The 22,530-nt window shown below is 44.8% G+C and overlaps 1 protein-coding gene across 47 annotated transcripts in view; it reads right to left on the bottom strand.

Moving 5' to 3' along the window:
• Positions 1-22,530, bottom strand: part of BEND7 (BEN domain containing 7) — a 91,154-nt gene that overhangs the window by 63,764 nt on the left and 4,860 nt on the right. For 4 of the 47 annotated variants that reach the window (XM_011519395.3, XM_011519396.3, NM_152751.3 and 1 more), the window contains exon 1: positions 617-1,349. The exons of 41 other annotated variants lie outside the window; for them this stretch is intronic. The gene's annotated coding sequence lies outside the window, so the exon portion shown is untranslated. Of the gene's footprint in view, positions 1-616; positions 1,350-16,308; positions 16,415-22,530 lie in introns of those variants that run through there. 2 more of the 47 variants (XM_047424792.1, XM_047424789.1) reach the window with 1 other exon arrangement.

Consider the following 22,530-nt stretch of genomic DNA (forward strand, 5'->3'; position numbering starts at 1 on the left):
GAAGTAAATATCTTTAGTTTTTAAAAATGATACTAAAAACATTACAGAATATATTAATTCTGTCTAATTGAACATGAGTGAACACGGAAATAACACAGATTTCCAAATTTACAATATTGCTATGTGTTGTTGGCATATGCTTGAGAGGAGAAATATTCTAATTTGAGATAAAACTATTTCTACTTCAAACCCCTGTGAAAATTACAATATATAAACAATAAATCATATTCCAGATTTTATGAGAATGAACGACCAAGCGAGATTTCAATAACGCAGAGTCAGCAAAATTTACTACTTTCTCGAGAGGCTACGGAACAGGGTGTGTCTGGAAGAGGTCCCAAAGGAATCCTGAAAGATAAGCCCACAGGCAAATGCGGTATTAATTTCAGCAACCAGACACATACGTTCCCGGCTAGTTAACACCACAATTCAAGCAAGAGGAGGCATCTTTTCTGTGTGGTTTCCACCCACAGCCCTCCCCATCAGGCCGGGTATGCCTGCACTGAAGTCCATGCAGAGACTAGCCTTCTCTGGCACAGGTTGGTGGCCGCCACCCCTGACCCCAGGCTCCCTGAACAGAGCAGCCATAGCCAGGCCACATGGGGCAGATACCCACCCCGGCTCTCAAGTCCATGCCAGCTTGCTTCTCTACACTAACTGACACATCACAGGAGAAGGGATGTGTCTCCTGCCAAAGGTCCTGCCTCTGCTCTGTAGATATAATGCTAGGATAGATACAGTGCTACCATTAGCAACAGGAAGGCGTCACAAGGATTCTGGAACCTTCTGAGGGCAAATCTGCTTTGTCATGACCTCAGTTTCAGAGTTCCAGAACTTATGCCTATGAAAAGTACATGGCTGAAAATACAACCTGAGTTTTGCATAACTTTGTATTTTCATTTTGACAACCAGCATCCTAAGCTGCAGGTGGCAATGAGGGAGGAAGGTGGCAGGTGTGAGGGGTTCTGGCGGTGGGCTGCGCCTGCCGTGTGCAGAAACATGTCTCCCAAAGGCAAAACAAAACGAAACAAATACACAAAAAATCAGGACGTCGGGGGACTGAGGAGGAAGAAACAGTGCTGAAAGGAAGAGGGCAGAAGGCCAGAAGCAGGTCCCTCCTCAGAGGAAGTAAGCTCACGGCCTAGCTCACTGTGGCATGTTTTAAAGGATGGAACACATCCTTTAAAGGATGGCACAGTGGCTCACACCTGTAATCCCAGCACTTTGGGAGGCTGACGTGGGTGGATCACCCGAGATCTGGAATTTGAGACCAGCCTGGCCAACATGGTGAAAGCCTGTCTCTACTAAAAACACAAAAGTTAGCTGGGCGTGGCAGCGCGCGCCTGTAGTTCCAGCTACTCGGAGGCTGAGGCAGGAGAATCACTTGAACCTGGGAGGCGGAGGTTGCAGTGAGCCAAGGTTGTGCCACTGCACTCCAGCCTGGGCAACAGGGTGAGACTCCATCTCAAAACAAACAAACAAACAAACAAACAACAACTAAAAGGATGGAACACAGAAAACTGCAGTAACTGCAGAAGTCTGTGCTGAGAGGAGAGCTGAGAGGTGAGCTGAGAGTCGGCAGGGAAGGTTGAAGAAGGGCAGAGTGTGGAAAGTTTCTTAGGGGAGATGACGGGACGTTCAGGAATGGTCTCTGGGGTTTACTGAGTCACACTCTCTTCACCCAAAGCAGCAGAAGCAGCTGAGCAGGTCACCCCTGCAGCTGCTGCCTAGGAGGAGGGAGTCCTGGGGCTCTACTCCACAGCAGGGAATGATGAGTGACAGGCTTTGGCAGACAGGAAGAAAGAGGTTTCCTTGCACATTTGGGGCAGGTGGGGCAGAGGATCAGAAACGAGGCCTGAAGACTCCAAGTGACAATGACAAAGAAGCTGAGTCAACCTAAATAATCTGGGGACAGTGGGTGCTGGGAGCAGATGAGCAGGCCGAGCCGTAGAAGCTCGTTGAGTGTGGTGCAGTGTTAGTGTGGGACAGGACAGGCTGGGCTATTACACCCACACCTGGTCTCGCCTCCTAACTACGCCCACCTGCTACTGGATACTAGCCAAGCCACTGAATATTCTCTGGTTTCCTAAATCCTAAAGCAAGAGTCTGAACCCTAACCCGGGGAGGGGCACATGGTAGTCCAGGAGGGGCACAGGATTTTCACCATCACCAAGGTGTTAACCAAGCACTTTGTGGCTCTAGAAGTCCTTTTCGGAAGACAGGCTTCTTCTATCATAGTGGAATCCAAGTTCTTTGATAAAAAAAAAAATTGGTGAAAAGTATACAGGAGATTGAGATTGGAAGCATTCACTGACTTCTACTGGTATTTCCAGTTATCATTAGTCAATGACTTCTCCAGGTATAGATACCAGGAAAAGGAAGCTCTTTGGAGCAACGAGCTCTCTAGCGAGACAGGATGCTATAAGGAAACCTGTGCATTTTTCCTGATCTCTTTCCAAGACGCTGAATCCTTTTCAGAAAAACAAACACAAAGGAATCTTACTAAAATGGATCCATGCCACGTGACTACCTTATTGGCAGCCTGAAATCCTTTGGAGTTTAGTAACTATACTCCTTGGACAAGATCTAAAAAGATTGTATGCTGGATTCTCCCCCTCACTAAATTTCAAGACTCTACTAGATCACGTTCCTTTACGCAAAGAATTTATGACACATAGTCTTGCAGGATCTGATACATGTGAGGGCAACACAGAAGTCAACACACAAGGTTGCCCTTAACTTGGCTAGGAGGGAAGGATCCACTACGTGGAACACGATTATTCACAGGTAATCACGATAAAAGATGGTAACAAACAAACTGAGAGAGAGTGCAGCGAATGCTCATCATTTTGTGTTGCCTTGGCATCCATTTTAAATATAAGTGGGAGTTTTTCATTCCAGAAGCAAGGCTCTGTCACCCTTGACAGTTTCCAGTTCTATTCGCTGCACTCCCGGTTCCTCAGTGTGGTCGATCCAGACATCAGCTTTATACAACTGCTGCCTGGTGACCACCTCCCTACAGGACAGCTAGATGCAGCCTGCTGGCCCTTGCACCCCACGTGGACTGTGCAGATATGCCACAGTAACTCCCTCTCAGTCGCTGAGTGACCTCCTGCAACCCCTGCCTGCTTGCTTTCAGCCCATGAATTACAGCTCCCTACAGGAAACCTGTGTGGATAACGCTCTGGACCCAATAAAGGTACTGGCCATGGGTTCCTTTCTCTCCCCTGCCAGGCCACATGGGGCAGACACCCGCTCTGGCCTGCGTGTGTGTGGCCTCCAGGGGTGTGCTACCCTCCCCGGGGTCCATAAGTACTAAAACTTCTTAAACTCTCACACTGTGCTTGTGCCATTAAAGGCCCACAGTCCGACCCCTGACTGGGAGCCTGCCCCAAAGGGACCTGTGCTTGTGGATCTCTTGCTGGCACTTGTCCGGGCCTCTGGTGGCTGCTGAGGACAATGCTATCAGTTAAGTTAATAATGAAACTCAAAGAGTTCCATCCAAAACAGAGCAGTTGCATGTGTGCCCATCTATATGCCTCCTTATTAGGAAAATTCCTGGTAACAGTCACCCTGTCTGTGCCCTACAAATGTACCAGTGCTAATGTACAGCAGGCGTTCCATAAACCTTTCTTAAGTAATTAAAAAAACCCTGCTTATCAAAAACAGAATGAAGTCCAGAACGCAACACTAAGATAGTAAACAAATAACAGGGAAGACTGAAAACGTATCAGAAATAAATTATTTGACAAATATTTATCAAGCACCTCCTAGGCTCCAGAGATACAAAGATCATCGGGTACAAATTGAAAGGTACCCCAACTCTCTCAACATCTCTTACCTGAATCCTTTTATATTGATCTCTTGCTCCAAATAATGGTCCTGGTTTTCCCGGCCCACTGACCCCTGCCTCTTTTAACTGTGTGCCCTGGAACTCTACTTGGTAAACTGCCCCCCTGTTTGCAGATGGCACGCTCTGCTTCCTTGCTAGAGCTAGACCCGCCTCTTCCCTGTGGATCCTGCCTTCCCTGTTGGCCCCGCATGAAAATTATTCATTCTCCCTTCCTTTGAGGCTGCAGAGGAGAACCTGGCTTTCCTCTTGCTCCCCGAAACACGGCTCTTTTAACCCCTGGAAGAAGCTCACAGAGGTGTATTACCTTGCATCCCTCTTCCCAAGCAGCAGTTCTGCGAGCCAGGAGTTTAAGATTCATAGGAGATGAGGCAGGCAACGGAGCTGGAGCGCATAGTGAGGCCACCCTGCTAGGGCACCACATGCAGGGTGAAGGCAGAAGAATTGTACACTGGAGCCAATGGGTTATCACTGGGTAACTTAAGATTCAGGTCTCTTTTCATATAAGGATAGTAAATAATCAGATATATCCTACACAAAAACAATTCTGGCAAAATTATGGTGAAACCGGTATGGCATAGAGGAACCTGGCTAGAATGTTATCACGGAAGGCTCTGTGAATGGCAACGTCAGTCTACCAGGATTTTCAGGATGGAAATGGAGCGAGATGGAGAGAGAGAGAGAGACACTGAAGAAGTTTAATCAAATGGGCTTGGGATTAGCTGGATTTGCTGGGGGTGGAGGCGGGAAGAATCCATGAATGATAACCCCAAGGTTTCCAGCTTGGGTCACTGAATAGATATAAACACCAGTAGGAGAACTGGAAAAACATGCATGCAAGGGAGTGGAGATATGGAGTCTAGTTTCGATGAAGAAAATCTGGATAAAAGCAGGCAATGGGAAACGCAGCTACTGGGTGCATGAGTTTGAGCATGAAGCCATATTTTGGTTTTATCCACGAGTAGGCTGGCCCCTCTGGACTGAGTAAGCCCCTGAGGGTCATGGATAATTTAGGGGGTGGAGGACATCTTATAGAGAGATATTAGATCTTCTACTAATCTAGCATGTAAAGAACTCAAAACATTCATTTATTAGTAGATATTTAAAAAGATCTGACCTCATATGATTCCAAGCTGGTAAAGTGAGTCAAACCTATCCCTCCAGAATTCCCAACCCCTGAGGCAACTATCCTCTTGATCAGAACTGACTGACTCTCTCTCCCCGCGCCAGTCTCAAACCCATCACTCAGGGATGTCACGTTCGGTGACTTACCTGAGCAGAATGGACACAGGGCGTCTGAAAGAAATGGGGTCCAATCCTACCGCTACACTATTACACTATCATGTCCCGTTTTGTCCTATGTTAAAGAGGCCATTGAGAAACTTGAGGAGATAATGAAAAAGCCAATTGAACAGATTAAGGAACAAGGAAAGATGAAGGGGGGCTGGGTTCTTTCACTAATAAATGGCCACTGAGTGACTTAATTATCTCTAAATATACTACACAGTATTATGGGTAGGACATTGTTCTTTATCAAAAAGAAAAACAATGAACTGAAAATGCAGCTTCCAGCCTGAAGGTGAGGCCACAGATGATCTTAAAGAGCTGGACTTTCCAGTTTGTAAATACCAGAAGCAGTGCAGAAGCATCTGCAGGAGAGGTGACAATGAGAATGCATCTCTGTTTGTGGTGATGAAAAAGCTCTGGAGGTGGTTGCACAACACTGTGAACGTATTTTAAAGAAAAATGCTTTAAAACTCCTTGCATTTTTTAGGGGGCAGGTAATGGCATGTTAAAGAGAAAGAGTTTATCAGTGAGAAATAATAAGATGACCAGGATTATACTATATGGTCCAAAATATTTCCTCTTAAAAACTCATAGAGGTTGGCATGGAGCCATGCTGTGGATAGACTGATGGGCGGCCTGTCAAATGGGAGACAGGTGGGAGCACGGAGCCAGGGCCTTCAGGCTTGCGGGCAGCTCTCTGCACAACCTCCACAAGTGAGCTGAAAGAAGAGGAATCTGAAACAGACCCTGTGCTTTGAGGACCTGAGGCTGGCACCTCTTTCCAGACCCCATTAACATGCAGATGCCATCAAGGTCCCAGCTGGCAGCCTGCAGGGACAACAGCCATGTTTATGAGGGACACACAAGACTGGGAGTCGAACTCAGCAAAAAACAGTGTGAAAAGCATCAGTCTATGGAACAGGGTGGTGGTTTTCCAAACAAGTCCTTTTTTTCCCAAGTGCAATCTAAAGTGGAACCCCAATAAATAAAGAAGAGCAAAGCTCTGCTGAGGAGACTGCGCCAGAACCCGATTCCTGAAGCCGCCCTTGGAAGATGCTCAAGAACTCCAAGGGCTCCACACTGCATAGGCTGAATGCCACGGAAAAGGAAAGACCAAAAAGTGGCCATAGAATCATTTAATTGGATGAATCAAATACCATGAAAAGGAGTATCTAGACACAAATATATCTCCACGTGCTTGAGGGTCCTGTTCAGCTGAGAACTACAGATAGAAAATAATTAAGCAGCCCAATGTATACATGGCATTTACATTTAAAGGATAGCTAAGACCCTTTTAAATCTGTTGAGATACTATCAGGTTCACTTATCCACTTAATAAATATTTACTGTACTACTACTAAATTATGAGACACAATGTGACCGAAAAAAAAATGTAATACACAGTCTCTTCCCTTCAGGAGTTTACAGCCTAGCACAGGAAACAAAAGAGTGTGTACACAGCTCTAAGAGTATAATGGCACTCTTCTGATCGACGGGCAGGCCTAAGCGGCACGGCGGTCAACCCCAGCCAGGGGACAGGAGCACTTTGTAATCATGGCTGAAGATGTGAAGCCAGGACAGGTACCAAGAAGGAACGCCAAGGATCCTAGTGGGAAAACAGGTACTGAAAGCCAAAAAGGCACAAAGGGCTTGAGATGGGCAGTTAGGGTCAAAAAGAGCAAAGAAATACCAGGAAATGAAGCAAGAAACAGCTGTGCAAAATGAGCTATCACACGGCTTCTCAAACTTTTCCCTCAAAGAACACAGAAAGCCAAAGGAGAGTAAGTATCTATGAGAAGTTTGGGGACAGAGTCCTAGGAGGGGAATAAGGAACAAACAATTTTCTTAGATGTCCTTATGTTTTCTCTTAAAAACTGAATGCAAGTACTGTCCTATACTCTCTTTGTTTTTGCATTTAATTTTAAAACAATCTTCTATCCACCAAGATGTGCAGCTTCCTACGGACCCTGGGCCCCAGCACTGGGCACCCACAGTTACATGTTTGCCAGCTGAAAAGCAAGGCCAGGGGTGGGTGGGCTGGTCCATCCCAGAGGCAAGGGCTGGTGCCTGTGAGTCAGGCTCTTCAGCATCGCCAGCTACACTTCCCAGGAGCACAGTTACGGTGTCCGTGACTGAACAGACAAAACTGAGGGAACGCATGATCAATGCCTTAGAAATCATGTGACAAGTGTTTCAGGAATTACAGAGAGAAAAAGAGATCACTTTACCCTGGGAGGACTACGCCTCACAAAGATGGCAAGACTGGAGGTGGTCAATAAACAACACCAGCATTTCCACGCGCACTTTGGGGAGGAGAAAAGAGAACGGCACTGAACGAAGCTTGAGGGCAGAGAGAAGTGAAGTGGGCAATGGCGAATCAGCGAACTTAGCTGGAGTTAAGGCAATGAATGGGGCAAAGTCAAAAACGAAAGGACCCTGACACTTTGACTTCATCCTCAAAGTGACAGGAGATCAATGAAGGTTTTTGTAAGAGCGATAGGACACAGTTAGAACTACTCAGTGAATTCAAAGATTTTTGTCTACTTATTTCTCCTCCAAATGCTCTTACATTGTGGAAAGCAAAGTTTTATTTTATAATCAATATAGCATGGCTGTCCAGTGTTCCCTGATGAGTAACTGCATCTAACATTAAGCAACAAAGTCTGAAACCACCACTTCAAGTAATATTCAAGAATAATCAAGTCAAAGAGTTAAATCTGAAATGCATGGAAAAGGTCTTATAAATCAATAAAGAAGATGATGAATACTAATGATGGAAAAATGGGCAAAGGACATGAACATGTAATTCACAAGAAGAAAAAAATGATCAATAAATATTTTAAGTATCTTATCTCCCTAATTATTAATGTAATGAAAATTAACATAAAATTCTTTTCCTTTCTATGTAATTATAGATTCAAAAAGCCCATTTTTGGTGATAGTTGAGGGTCACAGTAACTCTCATAGGCTGTTGGTAGGGATGTAATTTGGCAAAACCTTTTTGGGGCAGAATATGGGAATTCCACTTACCAAAATTTATGCTACAGAAATATTCCAACAACTACCTATGAATATTCACTACGGCATCATTTTACAAGGGAAATATTGGGAACAATGTAAACATTTATCAACAGAACATTAGATAAATGAATTATGGTACAGCAGTACAACGAAATTATATCATTTCATATCTATAAAGAGTGAAATAGACCCTTCTAGAGTCATTTGGAATTATGTGAAAGACAAATTATTAGCTTCAAGAAAGGAAATCATGATCATCTCATTCGCTACAGGATAACTAGGGGCTAAATCTGCCTGGTTCCAAATAGGCAGTCAATATGGATGAAATAAATAAAGATTAGGTTAAGTGAAAAAAGTTGCAACATGTTAAATAGCATAATTCTATTTTCTTTTTCTGTGACACACACACACATTTCACACACACCTCTATTGGTAATAGTGGTTATCACTGGAGAGTGTGATTGGATTTAAAAAAAAAAACAAACTAGTCAAGGGCCGGGCACAGTGGCTCACGCCTATAATCCCAGCACTTTGGGAGGCTGAGGTGGACGGATCACTTGAGGTCAGGTGTTCAAGGCCAGCCTGGCCAACATGGTGAAACCCCATCCCTACTTAAAAAATACGAAAATTAGCTGGGTGTGATGGTAGGCACCTGTAATCCCAGCTGCTCAGGAAGCTGAGGCAGGAGAATCGCTTGAACCCAGAAGGCGGAGGTTGCTGTGAGCTGAGATCCCGCCACTGCACTCCAGCCTGGGCAACAGAGTGAGACTCTGTCTCAAAAAAAACAACAATCCCAAAACCCCAAATAACTAGTCAAGTGTATTAGTGAGAAGGGGAAACAGTAGAAGGAGTTTGACCTACAACTCACTGTGAACAATCAATTGAGGTAACTAACTAACTTCAGACCAGCTGAGATCTTTTACTTTTTATTTTGTTTTTGGCTTTATAAATTGTTTAAAAAATGGTTTCAAAATGAATATATATGACTGTTTCGAAGGAAAAATGATCTAGAAGAATTATTTACAAACTTTTCTTTGTGGTATTCTCAAGCTGGGTATAAGGCAACTGGTAGATGTAGCTGTGGACCTGAAAACATCACAGTGAAATTGGGCAGGAACGACTGACTCAGCAGCAGCTAGACGGCAGCAAGAAAAGTCAAGCAGGGAGATGCTGGGGTGTGGCACGTTTTGTAATCCCTGGAATACATGCTAAGGCCACTTTCTCTTGAAACTCATTACAAGTCATATATCCTTAAAAGGAATTTGGATGTATTTAAGGGAAAGAGTGTTAAAGCTATGAATACCACTTACAGAGCACTTAGTATGTACCAGGCCTCTGGTAAGCACCCTGCCTACATTGAATCCTGACACCAAGCTAAGAGGTTCGAGCACTGGCGTATACATTTTACCCAGGAGATGCAGAGACTGTGAGGTGAGAGATCTGCATTGGATGCATCAGGCTTCTGGGTCCCTGTGCTACACTCCTCTACTAAGCTGCTCAAGGAACTAGCTGAATGGCAGGAAGGACTCCATTCATGAGACTATCAAGCCGGTGTCCAGGGAGCTGTCACAACAAGACGTGGGTGCCGTGTGAACTAGCTGGTACCTTAACTACCTAGGAATGTTAGCACACAGGGTGGAAACAAGGAAATCACTGGACCAAACCATCTTTACAGATTCTGACTTAGTTGCACTGCTCCAAATTAAGAAGAATGAGGCTATTTCCTTTTAAGTTGGAAATTTGTACTTGGGAGGCTGAGGCAGGAGGATCACTTGAGCCCAGAAGTTTAAGGCTGCAGTATGCTACAACCACGCCTGTTAACAGCCTCTGCACTCCAGCCTGGACAACATAGCGAGATCCTGTCTCTTAGAAAAAAACAAACTGGAAACTTGGTCCATGTGAAGCCTGTTAGTTCTACAAAAGCCAAAGATGAAAACTTCAGAAAAGCGAAATAAAAGTCTGTGTTCACGATTCTATGAAACACACAGCAAAAGTCTCCAAAGGCTGACAATACACCTAGGAAAAATAGAACAAGACTGTAGATTAAGAGCTGCTTCTGAATTCCTACAGTAACACAAGTCTTGCCTTCATTCAACAAGAAAATGTTCACAATTTACTATTTGCAAAGAGACGCCCTTTTCAATGTAAGTTGAAATGCTGATCCTCTGCTCTCCTGTACAGAAAACTTCTAAGAGAGTCTTGACACAGAAATGCAAATCTCCCCTCCTTCCTGAGATGTTAATTCCACATCTACCTCATGGATCAGTTAAGTATGAACATCATTAAGTACGATCTGGATTATATTTCTTCAGTCATTTAAATTTTTAAAATATTCTGAGTTAAACACACATGCTATTGCACAATTTCATTTTCAATGTACATATTATTAATAATGATGACAAACAGATCACATTCACAATGGCTTTTTCTTCCAAGGATCTCAAGGGATTTGGATAACTTGGGCCCCAAGGGACCTGGAGAATGGCAGCCTTCCCTGAGTGAGTCTCGTGGGAAATCTCTGGGGCTAAGGCAACAGTAACTTAAATCAGTGTCTTCCAAACTTTTCTGACCATGGTTCACAGCAAAAAATACATTTTTCATGATGACCTAGAACGCACATACAGATATGTATACCATGCACACAACTCTTAACAACAGTGTGAGGAATCTGTCTTTCCTGCATGCAGTGTACTTTGATGTTTTCTATTCTACTCTATTTCTTTCTTCTTCTTCTTATTGCTATTGTTACTGTTGTAGTGTCGGTGACAATCCACTAAATTGATATCATGACCTACTTACAGGTCACAACCACTGGTGTGCAAAACATTGCCTTCAGTGTCCACAGTTTTAGGACGCTGGCCTAGGCAGTCTTCTCGTCCTCCATGCTCTTCCTGGATTCACCGTCCTCTCTCCTGGCTCCACTGACTACCTGCACAAGAGGACTCCAGCCCAGATTCCACCTCAGGGCTCCAGAGCCATACATCCAATTGCTTACCAGATAGCCTCACTTGGACATCTCAAAAGCAACCTTAACATCATGTCTAAAAATGTTATTTTATCACGACCATCCCCTAGCCTTAGTACATGGGCCAACTCAGCTGTCTGAGCCAAAAACCTAGGAGTTATTCCTCCTCCCCTCCCTCCCACAGCTGATTCGTCACCAAGTCCTGCTTCTTGTAACTTCTAAATTACTTTAGAATTCTACTGCTTCTCCCCACCACCACCCCATTCTTGGTATCACTCCATGGGGCTACTGCCACAAGCCTTCAGGATTGCTCCCCTCCCATTCTACTCCACCCTGAAGCTAGAGTGATCTTTCAAAAATGCAAATCGAATTACACTGCGGACCTCCATGGAGTGCCAATATCCCCAGGATGGAGCTGCAGCTCCCCGAGAGGCTGGGCCTCCTTGCTGTTGCTCCAGCCCTGGCTCCTGCCACATTTCTCCTATTCTATGGTGGCATCTGGCTCTTGGGTCTGGCTGCACATGAGAACCACTGGGGCAACTTTTAAAAAATAAAAGTGCCCGGGACTCTATTCAAGACAATTCAATCAGAATCCAAGAAGCGACTGTCTGTGCAGCCCTGGCCCTGCCAAAGGCCTTTTCCTGTATCTCAGAAGCTGGTCCCCACATGCCACCCCTTCTGTGTCCTCAGCCCCAACACCACATTGGCCCTTCAGGTCTCAGTTTCATTTTCTCAAGGGCCGTATTCCTTAATTCCCCAGGCCTGGGAGGGCTCCTGTCCCATGTTCCCACAGAATCCTTAATTTCTCTTATCACAACCTAGTGGGTTCTACAACCTCCCAGCCTGGCCTACTGGCTTCAATAAATATCTACAATAGGAATATATTAACGTCAATTCTAATAACAGATATGACGAGAAGATACGGTTGAGGAAAGCTGACGGAAAACCACCACCACTGATGTGCAAGAGATAAACCCACATCGGAGGCATCCGTGCAGTTCTCCTTCTTTCTGTAGAGTGTGCAGCGGGGTGGCAAGCAGAAGCCATTTGGTGCCTAAATTCGGCCACATCTTCCCATGAAAGCCTTCCCCGAGGGACATGTCTCATCTCCATCTTCTTTCCAGTTCATTGCAGATGACGTGTGGGAAATTCAGTTGCCCCTGCCTCGACAAATGGGAAGACAAAGCTGCCTGTCCAGAATGATCAAGTAAACCAGGGAAGTTGGGTCGGACGTGGGCCACCCTGCTCTACCGTGTGCCGGCACCAGGATCTCCCTCCCAGCGGAGAGTTAAGAAGAGGAACACTGAACTTGTAGAGAAACGCTAAAGCTAATATTCCTGCAGCAACTCCTCAGGCACATTGCATGCTGTGCATATTAAGGTACCCATTAAAGTCTTGCTAGTAATTGAAAAAATTATCTATGTGCAATGAGAATGAGTTAATGCAACAGAGGAACCTTACTTTTGCATCTCCTGACTTTTTACTTTTAAAAGGTACCTGAACCTTGCGCTTCTGTGGGGTTCTTTACATTTCCTATGTAGGTGTAAAGTCATACTTGAGATATAATTCCATTCACCATGCAAGCAACTTCATAGTCTATTCTATTGCATCAACTTTTTCTATAAAAATAAATTGTTAAGGATATTATTCCTGGAACAGAATAAATTCTTGGAATCACTGAGTAACTTATGTAGCGTTCCACTGTTCCAAGAACACATCACTTATTTTATCATGATAATGTAAAGGTATTAATCTTTTGGCTTCCATTTCAACAATGAGAAATGCTGCGAGAGACACAGACACCTGCATTACATTTCAGCTCAAGTTTATATCATCCATAAACATCTCTGTTTTGGACACCTCAGCCAAACAAATGCTCGCAGAATACTCTATGTAGCATTCGATTTTATGGAACTATAAAAGTTCCTTGCTGTTAATTACAGAGACAAATGTCTCATCACACATTTGGTTACCAGATAGCAGTATAATTAGTTTTCTCCATTAACCTTTCAGATATAAAATTTGATTTCAAGTAAAAAACATTGTAAACCCCTTGGAATCTGAATAACAGTATATTTCTGCATGTTTGAAAAACATGCAATACCAAGAAAACAATTTTATAGATTCTTATTTACAAGGATATTGGTTGTATGGAATACTGAAAGAAAATGTCTCTCAACTTTGTAATGATTTGAAAACATATTATGAAATATGCGTGCAATAAGCTATCCTTTGTAGAGAAATGAGGCACAGTAACCTGACCCCCAGTGGAATGTGCCCTTTGACCTCTCTCTCCTAACTATGGTCACGCGGCCAAAATGTTCAGCACAGCCTCTCATCCGCTCCCCCTTCATCCTGGCATCTGTGAGACAATGGACGAGGGTGGTGTGTTCAGTTGATGGCAATGGAATAGTTTTTTTCCTGTTTAAAGTCAAATTGCCTTCAGGATGACTGATCCCACAACCCTGGCCTGCCAAGGACCATGCTGTAGCTTACATTCATAGAGAGTGCATTTGACGGACACAATGGTGTAGACGGGGTGCTATCAACAATGGTGTACGTTTACGCTGCCAACATGTGGAGAGTGGGATGAAGACCTCATGCGCCGCATGGGACAAGCCTGCACAAGGAAACGGCCTCATCTCAATCAATCGTCTCACTCTGATCTACTGATAACTGGAGGCACATTACCTTTTAACATGGTTTAACACGGAACTCATTCATTTATTCAAGAATAGTTATTAAGAGTCTACTCTGCACCAAGGAATACTACAGTAGGAATACAGCATTGGACACTCAGAGTCTTGCCCTGAAGGAATTCAAACTGAGACTGGAAGGATAAATAAAAGATCACGGAGGCAAAGGTAGTCGAGGTCACTCTAGGCAAAGAGGCCGGCAGAGCACATGCCAGGGCCCTGGTGTTGCAAGATTCCAGGGGTGCTGTCCCTTGTGCCATGTGAGTCTGCGAGGCCCGGGGTGGCGCGGAGGCTGGTGACACACAGGGGCACAGGAGTGCATCCTATTTCAGAGTTAGACTTTAAAGGAGGGAGACTGCTACCTATTAAAATAGAAAACAGGCTGGGCGCGGTGGCTCACGCTGGTAATTCCAGCAGTTTGGGAGGCCAAGGCAGGCAGATCGCTTGAAGTCGGGAGTTCAAGACCTGCCTGGCCAACATGGTGAAACCCCGTCTCCACTAAAAATACAAAAACTAGCCAGGCGTGGTGGCACGTGCCTATAGTCCCAGCTACTCGGGAGGCTGAGGCAGGAGAATCGCTTGAACCTGGCGGTGAAGGATGCAGTGAACCAAAATCGCGCCGCTGCACTCCAGCTTGGGTGACACAGCGAGACTCTAACTCAAAGGAAAAAAAAATTATTTAACAAATACTTATGATATTTCCTAGAATGTGCCAGACACTGTTCTGCAAACAAAAATGCAAAGAGATCAGGCTAGATGATAGCAGGATACATACAGGCTTTGAAGAGTTGATACCAAAGGAGGCTTTTGGATTTCCAGTGCCAAAGACCATTATATGTAAGTGTTTAAGTAAAAGACTGTATTTCTCAGTGTCCATTGAAGATTTTTGTGACCATACAAAAAATAAGTGTTGATTGGAATATCTGGTTATATTCTTTAAGAAGCAAGCAGAACAAATAAATTAAGCAAGCATTTGTTGCCCTATTAGGGTTTTCTGGTGGCTTTTTTTTTTTTTTTTTTGAGACAGGATCTCACTTGTCGCCCAGGCTGGAGTGCAATGGTGCTATCTCAGCTCGCTGCAACTCCCACCCACTGGGCTCAACTGATCCTCCCACCTCAGCCTCCTGAGTAGTTGGGACTATGCAGCATGACACCTGGCTAATTTTTGTATTTTTTTGTAGAATTTTTTTTTTTGCAGAAGAGTGGTAAGCATGTCAATGAGGTGAGGAAGTGCACAGCCTAAAACATAAGGAAGGAGAGCTGCTGCAGGAATGAAAAGTGGTCTGGTATGGCTGCTGCACATGGAGGCAAGAGGGGAGTGTCAGGAATCAGCTCGAAGAAGTAGACGGAGGCAGTTCATGCAGGGTCTCAGCTGTCATGCTAGGGAGTTTGGGTACACTTAGATGATAAAGAATTTCAAGCATCACACCTATAATCCCAGCACTGTGGGAGGCCAAGGCTGGAGGATTGCTTGAGGCCAGCAGTTCAAGACCAGCTGGGGCAACAGAGGGAGACGCTGTCTCTACAAAAAATAAAAAAATTAGCTGGGCATGGTGGTGCATGCCTGAAGTCCCAGCTACTTGGGAGGCTGAGTACCTTGAGCCCAGGAGTTGGAAGCTTTAGTAAGCTATGATCACACCACTGCACTCCAGCCAGGGCAACAGAGCGAGAGCCTGTCTCTGAAAAATGGAAAAGAATTTCAGGCAGAGGGGCAGCCCAAGTTGCACACGATACTCTCAGGAGCCGAAAGGCACCGTGTGGATCGCAATGGCTGCAGGTTCAGGTTTCTGCCCTTCGCCAGCCCCGCTCCCCTGCTACTGCTGAGGCACTGCTGTCCAGGTCACTTTCTCTCCGATAATCTGCTAGTTATAAGGATAACAGACTTCCCGCGCCAACATCCCAGGTCTATTTTTAACTATGAGATGCAAAACACACTGGTTCAAAATCCTTATTTCACTGTATAGATGGCCATATGATTTTCCTCAGAAAACAAAATCACAGGGAGGCTGAATTGTCAACACGTTTCCTTAGATTCTATCCTTCATGAATTTATTATTTTTTTTCAATGATTTGGTCATGACCAGTGTAAGAAAAGTAAAAGACCACAATATATCACACTTTTCATTTATAGGGCAGTTGCTGAACCACAATGAGCCTTCCTGAGAAACAGAAAGAGGTGGCTTTTCCCCAGGACAGCTGCTGCCCCCATGCGGGCCGTGGCGAGCAGGCTGCAGGCTGCATGTCAGCCCCACTGGCCCCTCACAGGGCCCCCTTGGGCAGGTACAACTTCGGTGGCTGTGTGCAGGGGCCCAACTCCCTCAGAAACCCGACAGGCACTAAGGTTTGTTGGTGTGATCTTTAATACATGGCTTTATGTCCTTAAATTAAGGTAGAAAAGCTTGCTTCATGTGAAATCTGAGAAGTCAACAATGTCAACATCAGTTTACAGATGGGCCAGCGCTATCTTAAGCACCTTTCTAAAGCTGTACCTGTGTTAGAGCAGAATAAGGAACAAGCAGAACAAATGTGATTTTCCAATTTTGGTTTCCAACATGTCACTGGCTTTCATATGTGAGTTCTCCTTTTCGGTGTCTTCTGGATTTGAAAAAAGAAGTTGTATCTCACAAATCAACATCAGAAATCCCAAATTTCTACTCTAGTATGTTACAGAAGCTTAAAGTTAAATGAGGCATCTTTTAGTTTGGCTCACTAAATGTCTCTAAAATCTCAATATAGCAGTATACTTTACAATAAATCTTCAGAGTCCTAACGACAGTGTCCAATATATTCATGCATTTAAATCACATATCTGAGGACCTATCAGCAGAGTACCTATTACGGATACAGCATTGTGCTAGGTTCTCAAAGGATCCAAAATGAACTCAGGTCACATTTGCCCTCTAGGATCTGACAATTTACATTAGGAGCGATTAGGAGAGTCCTGAAAATAAACAACCACATTTCAATGTGGCAGCTGTTAAGTTTCGGAGGAGGATCTGCAGGGTGACTTGAGCACAATAAAGCCACACACAAAAATAAGTAAATATTAGGCATCACATGGTAAGTGCCAGAAAAGAGTAATGTTATTACTTAGTGCCCAAGTGATCGGAAGAATAGATAACTCCTAGGCTGGGCACGGTGGCTCACGCCTGTAATCCCAGCACTTTGGGAGGCTGAGGCAGGTGGATCACGAGGTCAGGAGATCGAGACCATCCTGGCTAACATGGTGAAACCCCGTCTCTACTAAAAAAAATACAAAAAAATTAGCCGGGTGTGGTGGCGGGCACCTGTAGTCCCAGCTACTCGGGAGGCTGAGGCAGGAGAATGGCGTGAACCCGGGAGGTGGAGCTTGCAGTGAGCCGAGATGGCGCCACTGCACTCCAGCCTGGGCAACAGAGCGAGACTCCGTCTCAAAAAAAAGAAAGAAAAAAAAAAAGAAAAGATAACTCCTAAATCTGGGAGAAGGAGAGAGAATGGGGTAATAAAAACAGAAATACAGTGTTTTCCAGTTTGAAAAAGCGTTTTACCATACAGGATTTCGCATGTGCGTCAGGAGGGCCAACGTTATTCTTCTATTACAGAAGATGAGGAAAACCCCTCAAGAGTGTTATCCAAGGTGTTAGAACTGGAGCCTGAGATTCAAAGCAAGGTTTTCTGACTCTAAATCCAACTTCTCTCTGCTACGCTATGTAAACTGAGGCGGCTTACAGGCCAAGGTAATATTTGAATTGAGCTTTAAAAACCGATAGGAGAGACAGGATTTTACTAGAAGGAGTTTGGAAATGGGGTAAGGAATGGTAGGAGGCTAGGATGGAGAAGGAGCCGCAGTGAAATGGCAGAGATGAGAATGGGAAGGTGCTTTAGGAGGGAATGATGTGATCAGTTTGACACAGCACATGTTTTCAGTGAGGGTGAAGAGCAAGAGAAGGCTGGAAGGGCGGTTTAGAAACAGACAGCGAACTGAAAGAGAGAGGAGAGCGGGGCCTCACTCCTCCAAGGCAGCATGGTACAGTGGAAAGATCGTGGCCAGGCCATGTCCAAATTCCAGATCCAGGCTCTTGTCTCCTAGTTCTATGACCTTACGTACATTAACAATTCTAAAGGCCCATTTTTCTCATATAAAAGTAGAAATGACAATACCTTCTCAGAGCTGGTCTCAGTGTTAAATGAGATAAAGTTCGGAAGTGCCCAGCACACACCGGAGGCAGTAAACAAGCCCTAGCTCCTTTCTTCCCAGCAGGAGGGGCTTTCCCAGGCCATAGCTCCTGCCCACCCCATTCCTTCTCCCTGTGGTGCCTCCTCTGCACCTGGAAGTCCTGGTTTAGGAAGCCGGTTGGCTCAAGGGAAGGCGGTTACATGAAAGCTGTGGACAGGGAGATGGGTCGGGTCAGACCGTGCATACTAGACACTCAGTGAAGGGCTTTGCCTTGATTCTAGGCCCATGACAAGGGAGCTGAAGTCTCTAAGCAGGAGAGAGGGTGAGAAGTTACGTACTGAGATCAGCCCACGTGGGCAGATTGGAGCAAGGAGCTGTGGCAGCTCTGACAAGGTGAAGAACTCAGAAGTGGATGTCAGGAGACCCCACTGGAAAGTGTGGTCAGCTACTAATGACCATGTAGCCTTGGGCAAATCACTTTCATCCCTGAGTTGAGGTTCCCATTTGTAAAACATGAGGCCGACCCAACAGCAACCTCACAGTGTAGCTGCAATAGAAACTAAATGAGAGATGGAGTGCCCGGATGGCCTAACTACAAATGCCTCCCAGACTTTAGGCAACAAGTCATACGTGAGAACGACCAAGTTCTGCATCCACAGCTACCGAAACATATGTTTATGTGCACATAAATTGAAAGAAGCCATCGGTATTTAAGTTCCCTCAAGAGGCTCTCCAAACTTTGACTTTGCTTGCAATTATTTTTGAAGCCATTTTTCGGTCCTAGAGTATAATCGGACAAATCAGGTGCTGTATGAAGCCTTGGGAACTGTCTAGACCAGGAGTTTTAAAACAGTGACTGGGGGCGCCCTAACATTCTGCAGAGGCCCACAGAGGAATGTGAAATGCACGTAAGGCTCTCTGGGTCTCCTCGACCTTTTTTCAAGCAGCTCTGCTCCCCTTTGATCTGCTGGACATACTGGGGGTTCCGCTTGGGAGCACGTTTGAACAAAGCCTGCCATGCGGTTAAGGGCTTGCTTTGGAGACAGGCAGACCCTGGCTTGCATCCTGGCTCTGGCACTGAGTAACTCTGTGAACTCCTCAAATTCTTCATCCATAAAGAGGGAAAAACAACACGTTTCTTGGGACAATTAATGGGATAACATTTACAAAGTCCTTTACATAGTGCTGGCACACAGCAAGCTCTGGGTAAATAACACTATTACTGGCCACGTACCTAACCCCAAGAGACACTCCTGGTCATCTGTCCCATTCATTCCACCACCAAAAAAGGAGAGGACTTACAAGAAGGAGCACAGGGACACAAGGACACAGTGGGGCCAGGGTGCTGAAGGTGGAGCTTTTGTGGGGAGGAACAGAGGGGAAGCACTTGCTTCCACATACTGGGATTTTGGGGTTCCACTTTTCCCCCTTGGCCCTTCATTTCCTCTGAGGTTGCAACTCCTGCCCCAGGTATGGTGACACACTAGACCCTTCTTCCTCTTGGAAGTGGGGCTCAGCTCCCAAGCCTTTTGAAACCAACCAAGAACCAGGGTGGGACCCAGGCCACCTGACTCCAGGTGAAGACCTCCTCCATTTTACAGACGGACCTGCCGAGTCCTCCAGGGAGGAGAACGATGTCGTGGCTGGGAGATAACTCTCTAACTTGTAAAAGTGCAGAGGAATTGTTCGAGTGTGTCCTCTTTGGGGAGATTCTGGGGACTCTAGTGGGTGCAGCTGTCATCAAGAAAGCCACTGAAAAGAGACTTCAGAGTTTCAGAGATGTCGACCCTGCTCAGCTGGCATGGCTGCCACACTGTGTGCTTCATCTATGGGAAGCTGAATAACTGAACTGAATATTAAAAAGAATAACTAGAACAGGGCTTGGCATGGATGTAAATGGAGCGCAATGAATTTGTTGAATGAATAAATGAATGAGACTGAACACCTGACAGATAAACATGTTTCCAATGTACATACTATGATAAATCTAACCCAAAATCCAATGTGTGAAAAGAGACTTCATTTTATATTTGCATTACTGCTATGAATAATAAATTAATTGTCTCATTAAAATCCTTCTAAAAGTGCCCTGCTAGCAGCTAAGGCCTCCTCCATGAGCCTTGGCTTTGCCTGGCTCCACAGGGCAGAGGGGAAAGATCTTTTGAGAGGAGGCCTGGGTTTACTCCGGCCTCTGCTATTCGTGAGGTCAGGTAACTGAGCTTCGGTTCCCATCATTATAGGAATCATTATATCTGCCCTGACTACCCCACAGGTATATGGTAAAAATCCCGAGAAGACAGATGTGAAAGCACTTTCTAAACCATAAGTGCAACACTCATGGTCGAGCTATAATGATGCTTATTGGCGGCTCCCTCACCCTTCCCACCTGGAATCTTCTCCAGGGAGGAGAAATACAGGAGCGAATCTTTCCTGTAGTTCAACATCTCTGCTTTGCAGAGCCCTCCCCTCTACCCCTTCCAACTCTGCATTTGCTGTTGCCCTGATCATTCACATTTGTCATTTAATTACCGTTCACAGACAGGCGGTTAAGTGGAGTGTTCAAAGCTCAGACAGACCTGCACTGGAACCCTACCTGTGGCACTTCCTACTTGAGAGACCTTGGGCAGGTCACCTCGACATCTCTAGGCTCATCTACAAAATGGGGATGACGGTAACTCATACAGACATGCTGCAAAGAGCAAATCAGGTCTTTCATGTAAAGTGCTCAGTGTGCTGCCTTGCACACAGTTAAGTGCTCAAACAACTGTAGCTCTTACGATTGCTGAATACTGCTCCGTTTCCTGAATTTGTCCTGTCTCCTCCCCAGCTGGATCTGAATCCCTGAGAACAAGGTCCCTGTCCTATCCATTTCTGTGACTATCTCTGACCCCACTCCCATTCCAGAAAAGTGCTGAGTTCAGAGTATCTTCTATAAAGACACTGGCTGAACTGATTTAAGAGAACTGTTTCCTTTCAAACAGTGCTTAAATCTTCACTGTAGTCCCATCACAGCCAGCTTGAGAAAGTCAATGTCCACAGGGTAAAGTAACGTCTTCTGACCCTATTATCCAATTAAAAATATGTGAGTAATTCCTAAAGCACGAGGCCAAGCCATTTACACTACTGAGCTACCCTACCATGTGAGATACACTACGTTCGTTAACAGCCTAAACATGTTCCAGAGAGGTAGACTTGATGTGGGAACCTCTGCCACATTCTAGAAGACTCTTTTTCACCTAGAACATAAACTTTGATCTTATAGATGCAGATACTATTAAAGGGAACACATATGTTTGAATGTAGAAAATCCTATAGACCATCCCTGGGACAGTGTGTCAGTACTTTGTTATAGGGGAAAGAGTTCTAGTATTTTGGTACCAAACCCCCTTGGATGTCATAAGCTTCCCATATAATTCTACATCTTTATGGACAGGCTTTAGCAATTTATAAAATAAACATAATTGAAATCTTTATGTTTTGAAAAGTGTAACTATAAAACTATAAACTATAACACTGTCAACAAAAAATTCCTACTCTCAGATGCCATCAGTAACTATTCTCAATTGCTCCAGAAATCATGTTGCTGTGACAATTTCTGTTATTTTTTCTTAACTGACCTAGAGATCACAAAATAAAAATGTTATTTGGGAACCAACTACATGATGACCCAAGAATGAGCAAAAGATTGAAAATAACCCACAGCACACTCCCAGGCTGTTCAATCTTTTGTCTCTTGATGTTGAAGGCCTTCTGGAGCAACCACTTTGAAAGCGTATCTATCTCAAGCCTGGTCCTTCATTGGAATTCTTGCATCTTCCTCAACTTGGACTAGGAAGAAGAAAAGCAACAACGTCTATCATCTCTGGGAGTTTCCAGCTTACTGAATCCTGGGCACTAGCATCCTGTTGCTCTTCAGCTTCCCCTCTCTTATCCTTACAATTCACTTCCTTCGTAGTGACCTTACCACTTTTCTAGTAGTACACAACAGAAAGTGCGGGAAAGCCTGCCTTGCTGGAGAACTAAATCAAGGACATGATGTTCCCTTTGTATGGTGAACGTAAATTTTCTACTAAAGGGTAAATTCGTTATTTCGAATGGCTATATAGAGTGGTACTTTGATAATACAAAATTCCAGCTGACCAACCAGGCACGGTGGCTCACGCCTGTAATCCCAGCACTTTGGGAGGCTGAGGCAGGTGGATCACCTGAGGTCAGGAGTTTGAGACCAGCCTGGCCAACATGGTAAAACTCTGTCTCTACTAAAAATACAAAAAATTAGCCAAGCGTGGTGGCAGGTGCTTGTAATCCCAGCTACTCAGGAGGCTGAGGCAGGAGAATCGCCTGAACCTGGGAGGCAGGGGTTGCAGTGAGCCGAGATCATGCCATTGCACTCCAGCCTGGATAAAAAGAGTGAACCTCCGTCTCAAAAAAAAAAAAAAAAAAAAAAGAATTCCAACTGACCAAGTTTAGGGGACTGGAAAGACTAGAATCCAAGAATATTCTCTTTCTGGGCCACAGCATTTCACTTGATTATTAACCTTTTGGCTCCTAGCTC

Source organism: Homo sapiens, chromosome 10, assembly GCF_000001405.40.
Source record: "Homo sapiens chromosome 10, GRCh38.p14 Primary Assembly".
Classification (NCBI taxonomy): domain Eukaryota; kingdom Metazoa; phylum Chordata; class Mammalia; order Primates; family Hominidae; genus Homo; species Homo sapiens.